Source organism: Homo sapiens, chromosome 4 (genome assembly GCF_000001405.40).
Source record: "Homo sapiens chromosome 4, GRCh38.p14 Primary Assembly".
In the NCBI taxonomy this organism is placed as follows: Eukaryota; Metazoa; Chordata; class Mammalia; order Primates; family Hominidae; genus Homo; species Homo sapiens.
Window position 1 is genome coordinate 158912356 of NC_000004.12, and position 9026 is coordinate 158921381.

General features: G+C 42.5%; 1 protein-coding gene across 5 annotated transcripts in view; it reads right to left on the reverse strand.

Moving 5' to 3' along the window:
* Positions 1-9026, reverse strand: part of SPMIP2 (sperm microtubule inner protein 2) — a 189752-nt gene that overhangs the window by 19222 nt on the left and 161504 nt on the right. For all 5 annotated transcript variants that reach the window (XM_011531671.3, XM_011531672.4, XM_047449676.1 and 2 more), the window contains one exon: positions 2815-3004. In XM_011531671.3, the coding sequence (XP_011529973.1) occupies positions 2815-3004 (190 nt within the window). The remainder of the gene's footprint in view (positions 1-2814; positions 3005-9026) is intronic.

Genomic DNA, 9026 nt, shown 5'->3' on the forward strand with positions numbered 1-9026 from the left:
GATATAAAATATTCCCATTTTCAACCATCTATTTTGATGGGAAAGTTTATGATACTGTCTATAGGTTTAAGCTTTTAAAATTTCCCCCAAGTCACCCAGTAACACAGACAAATTTCTACTTAAGAGACTTTCAGTGCCTGGTTCTGATTCTTGTCGTGTAAGAATGGAAAATGTGTTGGCATCTCAAGTAAGAATAGTAATGATAGCCACTCACTGGGGGCTATGTGTGAGGCACTGCGTTGGAGGCTTTTCACATGTGGTATTCATTATTTGCTTTCAAATATGTAAGAACATTTGTTCCAATTTATTTTCCCTAAAGAGGATTCATGTAAAAGAGAGGGGTGTTGAGTATTTATTGAAGCATCCACACAAATTCTGCAGGACAGTCCAAAAAATGGATTTGTGGGACAAGTATCTAAAGTAACTCTGGAAATTTAGAAGAAAGCCTCATTGATAAAAAGATAAATTATTTTGAATGATTCAGTATTTTGTTTATTTCTGGAATGGAAGGGGTATGACCAAGTGCTCAACTACTCTCAGGAATAATGGGTTAAACCGACCTCAGGTGCCTCTTGATGTGATGCACTGAGCATGAGGCAACGTCACTTATCTGGGATTCCTGACAAAAACACGTAACCTGAACCCACTCGTGAGGAAACATCAGACAAGCCCATACTGAAAGATTCAGAACTGGCCTGGATTCCTCAAAAGTGTCCATGTTATAAAAGACCAGAGTGAGGAACTCCTCCACATTGAAGAGGACTAAAGAGACGTGATAACTCAATGTAATACATGGTCCTAGACTGAATCCTGGATCAGAATATTACAAAGGTCGTCAGTTAATACTTTTTGTTGTTGCTGTTGTTGTTGTTGTTGTTATTTTTTAAGACAGTCAGGCTCTCTGTCACGCAGGCTGGAGTGCAGTGATGCAATCATAGCTCACTGCAGACTTGCAGACCTGTGATCGAGCAAGCCTCCCACCTCAGCCTCCTGAGTAGCTGGGATTACAGGCATGCACCACCACCCCTGCCTAATTTTTTATATTTTTTGTAAAGATGGGGTCTCACTATGTTGCCCAGGCTGCTCTCAAACTTGGGCTCAAGTGATTCTCCCACCTCAGCCTCCCAAAGTGCTGGGTTTATAGGTGTGAAACACCACCATCTGCTATTTAGTAAAATTCGACTATGAACTTTAGATTAGATAATAATACTCTATCAATGTTAAATTTCCTGAATCTTATAAATTGTACTGTGTTTATGTGAGACAGCATCCTTGTTCTTAGGAAATACACCCTGAAATATTTAGGAGTAAAGGGTCTAGCCTGTAGACCATTTATTCCACAGGGTCTGTGCCTGTAGTCCTAGCTACTCAGGAGGCTGAGGTGGGAGGATTGTTTGAACCCAGGAGTTCAAGGCTGCGGTGCACTATGGTTGTGCCCATGAATAGCCAATGCACTCCAGCCTGGGCAACATAGTGAGACCCCCATATCTTAAAAAAAAAAAAAAAGACAAGAGAAGTTGGGGGGCATCATGTCTGCAACTTGCACTCAAATGGTGTAAGAGAGAGAGGAAGAAAGCGAACATAAAAGCAAATAAAATTAACAACAGATGGGGCTGGGGAAAGAGTATATCACGTTCTTAGAGCTGTTGTTACAACATGCTCTACAAATTTGAAATCAAAATAAGAAGTCTTTTAACAGATTTTTTAATGCAAAAAATATTTCAACTGGATTTGGCGAATGATAGAGGCGTTTGGGATAATTTAGTCTGTAATAGCTCTAATCTGACACAAAATTAGTTCAGTGACAGAAAGTAACTAATCCAAGCCCTCCTCCACACACACTGCAATAAATCATTTCACTTGGACCCATCTCAAAATTCAGACTACATTGAAATGTTAGATGTCGAACTGTTCCCTTTTTCAATACGAAGTATTCCTAAGGTCAGGATCTACTGAGGAGGACAGCTAAGTCTCCTGCCATCACAAAATGTCTCAAATAGACATAATGGCTTGCTGATGAATCAGATCTCTGGCAACAGAGGGTGAGTAATATTCTAGTGAATTGGCAAGATTCTCCAAAAGAGCAAGAAGTCTTTTTATGCGTAGGGAACAGGAGTCTCTGAATGGGCCTGAGCTATTCTATTCCTTTTTCTAGCATGGAAATCTGCTGTCAAACTCTATTGAAAAACTGGACGCCTGCAAAGTTCATTGTGCTGTGGGATTAGACAGAAAGCTATTATTGGCGTATGGTTTGTACACAGACCTCAGGAAATAGTTGTTGAATATATACTTCCACATTCTTTAATTCTCCTCCTAACTCTATAAAATATTCAAAACAGATACCAAAATCCCCATTTTACTTATAAAAACCCATACAGGGAAATTATGCAACTTGCCCAAGATTCCATAAATAGTTTAGGGGACAACCTAGAATTCAAACGGGTATAAGCTTACTCTGCTAACCAGTTTGTGAGGTTTTGAGTGGAGTTACAGATTTACCTCCATTTCACAAACGGTGCTTTCTCAGCTCTTGGAACTCACAGGGGTCGCCATTCTCTCAAGGTTAAACCTAGTGATAAGAAATTCTGAGGACACAACCTCTTGTTTTCTTTAACTATAAAAGGTGAATAATGCCCACTTACCCACTGAATAAACATCACTGTGGCAATCCAGTATAAATTACAAAATGCTTCGATAGGTTAAAAGAAGCTACAAAACTGATTATTAGTATTACTATGAGAAACCTGTCCCTGATTTATATGTTAAAGCAGCCTGACTTTTTCTATGACGATTTAGAAAAGCAAAACATCATACCTTTTCCTTTTTTGGTAGCTTCGGCAGCTTAGGTGGTTTGGAAGCTCTTGGCAATGATGACTTACACTGCCTAACAAGAATAGCCCATTTGGAATTTCTCTGATCAGTGTCCTCGAAAGCACTCATATGCCAGGCAAAAGAAGCGCGACTCTGTTTTCCTTGCATATCCAGGACATGAGGTTTTGGTTGCCTGGAATAGGAACAAATTGGTTCTGAAATGGAAAAGAGCTAGAAACAAGGCCACCAGTTTTCAGATAGTTGAGATTTGTCTGTTTTTCTAGTAATTTAAGGTGATTCTAGCCATGTGGCTTAGGAAAGCTGAAGACCTGACCCATCCTGGGAAGTTTCTGAACTCTCTCCACTCTACATCACTGGACTGCTAGAGATCCAAAGAACCACCCCCAAGATGGACACCTATCTATGAAGCTTGTTGACGAATGCACTACTGTCCTTTCAGAGCCAAGCATGGAAGATGCTGTGAAGTTGAAGGTGATATGCTAACACTGAGGCTTCATGAGACCCATGTGATCTCCTGAAGGACATGGCCTATCCATTTTGAGGTCTCATGGACATTCAGGAAAACACCAGCTTTTCTATTCCAAGCTCTGGCTTTGGACTGCATTTTAGAGGAAAGATCTAAGCTTCTTCCTCTTTCCCTGGTGAGATCCTTGGCTAAGTTCTAACAACCCTAAATTAGAACATTATCTCAGCCCTGCTTTTCCATTATAAAAGGCTGACTCTGGGGAACAGACAGAAACAGGATTGTAAGGGTAGGGATTTGCCAACTCATTTGGAAAGCTGTTGTTTCTTAGAGAGCCTCTTGGGACTTCTTATTCACCATCCTTCCACCTGGGCTGCAAGAGCCCCTTGGGGACTGCAAAGTTCTCTTTCTAGAATCTGAGTCTGTGGGTTCCCAAGGTCTTTGGACCATGATTTGTGGGAGATTTGCATCGCCCTTCACTCACTCAAGAATCTACAGGCTCTTTCTACATGGCTGGCACAGTACAAGGCACCGTGAGGACCAGCAGTAATAAGATAAAGCCCCTGTTGTCACAGAGCTTATATACCTGTGGGGGAGACAAAAAATAAACAGATAACTGAAATATTTGGGAAGTACTAGGAAAAAAAATTAAGGCAGATGAGTAGAAAATCTTGGGCATGCTATTTTCGTGAGGTTAGACAAGAGAGGACGAGGTAATGTTTGAGCAGAGATCTCAGTGAAGCAAGAGTGTGAGCCATTCTCCCAGCATACAGAGGTCAGGCAGTTCCTTCCTGCTCCTGAGAATCACAGAATCCCTGTGGTGGGAGGGAAGTGACCATGGCTGTCTCCAGCAGACCCTCCCCTGACATCCCATCATCCTAGAATAAAGTCTGAGCTCCTCAGCATAGCATGCAGGGAAGTTTGTTGTTGCTGTTTGGTTTTTGTCTGCTTTTGCTTTATGTATGTACATATGTATGTATGTATGTATGTATGTATGTATGTATGTTTGTAGAGATGGAGTCTCGCTCTGTCACCCAGGCTGGAGTGCAATGACACGATCTCTGCTCACTGCAACCACCACCTCCCAGGTTCAATCAATTCTCCTGCCTCATCCTCCCAAGTAGCTGGGATTACAGGTGTACACCACCACCTCCAGTAAATTTTTGTATTTTTAGTAGAGATAGGGTTTCACCATGTCGACCAAGCTGGTCTTGAACTCCTGACCTCAGGCCATCCTCCCACCTCAGCCTCCCAAAGTGCTGGGATTACAGGCATGAGTCACCACCCAGCCTGTCTGCTTTCTTTTTAAAAATGGTCCTGCTGGGCATGGTGGCTCATGCCTGTAATCCCAGCACTTTGGGAAGCTCAGGCAGGCAGAACACGAGGTCAGGGGATCAAGACCATCCTGGCCAACATGGCAAAACCCAGTCTCTACTAAAAATACAAAAAATTAGCCAGGTGTAATGGCACACGCCTGTAGTCCCAGCTACTCAGGAGGCCGAGGCAGGAGAATCACTTGAACCCAGGAGGTAGAGGTTGCAGTGAGCCAAGATCACACCACTGCACTCCAGCCTGGGTGACAAAGAAAGACTCCATCTCAAAAAAATAATAGTTATAATACAAACAACTAGCTGGGTGTGGTGGTGCACGCCTGTAATCCCAGCTACTCGGGAGGCCAAGGCAGGAGAATCACTTGAACCTGGGAGGCGGAGGTTGCAGTGAGCTGAGATCACATCACTGCACTCCAGCCTGGGTGACAGAGCAGGGGGAAAAAAAAAAGGTCCAACCTCAGTTGATCCTTCTGGCCCACTCTCCTCAGCCCGTCTCTACTTTCAGACACACACAGTCCTTCCTTTCGCCTTCACCTTCCCCTCGATGAGCTCCAAAGAAGCTGCACTCTGAGCAAAAGACTCACAGCCTTTTGCTTCAATTTCCTCTGCTTGTGATTCCCTCTCCTCCTTATTTCCTGGAAAACTGCAACTAAGTTGGGGCTTTAAACATCACCTTTTCCCTGAAGACTTTTTGTTCCTGTCATGAAGCAATTTTTCTCCTTTAATAGCACTATTTGACTTTTTTTTTTTTTTTTTTTTTTTGAGACAGATTCTCTGTCTCCTAGGTTGGAGTGCAATGGCGTGATCTCAGCTCACTGCAACCTCTGCCTCCCAGGTCCAAGCAATTTACCTGCCTCAGCCTCCCAAGTAGCTGGGATTACAGGTGCCTGCCAAGCCTGGCTAATTTTTGTATTTTTAGTAGAGACAGGGTTTCACCATGTTACCCAGGCTAGTCTCAAACTCCTGACCTTAGGTGATCCACCCACCTCGGCCTCCCAAAGTGCTGGGATTACAGGCGTGAACCATCGTGCCCGGCCTGACTTCTTTTGTAGAAACTATTAGAATATTCTTGAATTCCTAGCTCAGCAGTCTCTCTTTCTACAAATTCAGTGCTCCTTAAAAGGCCCGGAGTGTATCTCATTCGTCATTGGCTCCCCAGTGCCATTACCCTGCCTGACACGTAATTGACACTCAACTAATCTTGGAGAATAGAGGAAGAGGGAAGGACAGGAAAGACCAGAACTGAGTGACAGGAAGGGCGCCTGCCTTCCCTCCCGCTCCCTTCACCCCACCTGCTCTACAGCCTCTTTCCGCTCCTGCCAGGCAGCTATGTAGGACTGGATCCTTGTGGTCCAGTTTGTCTGAGTTGTGTTATTTACAAGTACAGATTAATAGCTGGAAATAATTTCAAGAAAGCTTAAAAGGCAGGATAGCTGATGGTGAGAATGTAAGCAACAGATAGTGCTTATAGTTTATATTAGCTTGATTAATGATTCAAGGGAAAACTATTTCATGCAAATGTCACCTTTTCTTTAACATGTTATACAAGTAACTATATAGAAGAGTTTAGAAAAGAAAAATCCTTGGCCGTCTTTAGTCTTCACTTAAGTGCTAAAATATTTTATTATCTTTTAAATTCAGTATCTCCTACATCCCTGAAATTGGGAACACCAGAAGCAATAGAAAGTTAAAAATTAGATGTAGTTCAAAGATATTAAAGGTTTTACAAATATACTGGCCACATCAACTGTGGGGATTTACCCACACTGTATTGAACTGGGCCCCAGATGGGACCCAAAGTCTAAAGAGACAAACCAAGGAGCAGAAGGTTTGGCTCCAGATGGGCCATGAGTGCCAGGCCCGCGTGATGGGTAGGTGTCAGGTGCACACACAAAATAGCAGCAAACACACGCATGCCCCACAATGAACACCACCACCAGACATTTATAATACAACATTCTTACTATTTAATTATTACACTAAATAGGCCCCTTAGGGTCAGATACTTTTCGTTTTTGTTGTTTTTTGAAACAACCTGAAGCTTATAGAAAAGTTGGAAGCACAGTACAAAATCTTTTCTCGAACCAGTTAAAAGTACTGGTTGTTGACAGGATATCTATCATCCCCCCAAGTGGTTGACAGGATACCTGTCATCCCCAAGTACGTAAGTGTGTAATTCCCACAAACAAGGACATTCTACATAACCTCAACATAACCGTCAAAAGCAGAGAAAATGGGAAAATTAACGTTTTTATATTACTACCATCGAATGCTCAGACACCTTCAAGTTTGGCCAGGCATCCCAATAACACCCATTTTGCAAAAGAATCCAGTTCAGAATCACGTGTTACATTAGTTTTTATGTCTCCTTCAGTCTGGAACCGTTTCTCAGTCTTCCTTTGACTTTCACATAGCCTTGATACTTTTGAAGAATCCAGGCCAGTTATTTTGCAGATGTCCCTCAATTTGGGTTTCTTATGTTTCCTCTTGGTTAGATTCAGGTTATGCATCTTTGGACAGGAATAACACAGAATGACCATAATTTTGAGTTGTCCCATTACTGATGATGTTCACTTAGGTCACTTGCTTAAAATGCTACCTACCAGAATTCTCCTTTATACCATCACATTTCTTGTTATTAGTACTTTTTGGAAAAGTACTTTGAAATTATGTAAAAATTCTCATCCCATATGAAATGTTGTATTTGTTTAAATCCACTTATTTCATTATGGGCTCACGGTTTCCTGCTTTATCCAGTAAGTAATAATCCATCACCAACATTGTTCATTTTGATGCTCAAGTTATCCCAGATTTGGCTAGCAGTAGCCCCTTCAATCTGGCTTCTGTGTCCTTTTGACATGTCCCTGTCATTCTTTATACACTTCCTTATGTTTTGGCACAAAAGATGTTCCAGGGTCATCTTTTCCCACCCCAGCCCTGGAATAATCCATTTTGTGAAGGAACTTGTTGGAGGTGGGGCCTGGTGGGAGGGGATTGGATTACGGGTGTTGCAGGGGTTCTAATCATTTAGCACCATCCCCTGTTGCGGGAAGTCAGGGACCCCGAATGGAGGGACCAGCTGGAGCTGCAGCAGAGGAAGATGAATTGTGAAGATTTCATGGATATTTATCAGTTCCTAAATAATACTTTTATAATTTCTTATGACTGTCTTTACTTTAATCTCTTAATCCTGTTATCTTCATAAGCTGAGGATGTACGTCACCTCAGGACCACTGTGATAATTGTGTTAACTGTATAAATTGATTGTAAAACATGTGTATTTGAACAATATGAAATCAGTGCACCTTGAAAAAGAACAGAATAACAGCAATTTTTAGGGAACAAGGGAAGACAACCATAAGGTCTGACTGCCTGCGGGGTTGGGCAAAAAGAGCCATATTTTTCTTCTTGTAGAGAGCCTATAAATGGACGTGCAAGTAGGAGAGATATTGCTAAATTCTTTTCCTAGCAAGGAATATTAATATTAATACTGTGGGAAAGGAATGCATTCCTGGGGGGAGATCTATAAACGGCCACTCTGTGAGTGTCTGTCTTATGCGGTTGAGATAAGGACTGAGATACGCCCTGGTCTCCTGCAGTACCCTCAGCTTACTAGGATGGGGAAAAAACTCCGCCCTGGTAAATTTGTGGTCAAACCGGTTCTCTGCTCTTGAACCCTGTTTTCTATTGTTTAAGATGTTTATCAAGACAATACATGCACCACTGAACAGAGACCCTTATCAGTAGTTCTGCTTTTGCCCTTTGCCTTGTGATCTTTGTTGGACCCTTATCAGTAGCAGTAGTTCTGCTTTTGCCCTTTGGCCTGTTCCCTCAGAAGCATGTGATCTTTGTTCTGCTTTTTGCCCTTTGAAGCATGTGATCTTTGTACCTACTCTGTTCTTACACCCCCTCCCCTTCTGAAACCCTTAATAAAAAACTTGCTGGTTTGAGGCTCAGGTGGGCATCACGGTCCTACCGATATGTGATGTCACCCCTGGCGACCCAGCTGTAAAATTCTTCTGTTTATACTCTTTCTCTTTATTTCTTAGCCAGCTGACACTTATGGAAAAATAGAAAGAACCTACGTTGAAATATTGGGGGCAGGTTCCCCTGATAATCCCCCTAGTGCTGTCTCGTGACAGAGTTCTCACAAGATCTGGTTGTTAGAAAGTGTAGGCTGAGCACAGTGGCTCAAGCCTGTAATCCCAGCACTTTGGGAGGCCAAGACAGGCAGATCACCAGAGGTCCGGAGTACAAGACCAGCCTGTCCAATATGGTGAAACCCCGTCTCTACTAAAAATACAAAAATAATTAGCCAGCCATGGTGGCATGCATTTGTAATTCCAGCTACTTGGAAGGCTGAGGCACAAGAATTGCTTGAACCCGGGAGGCAGAGGTTG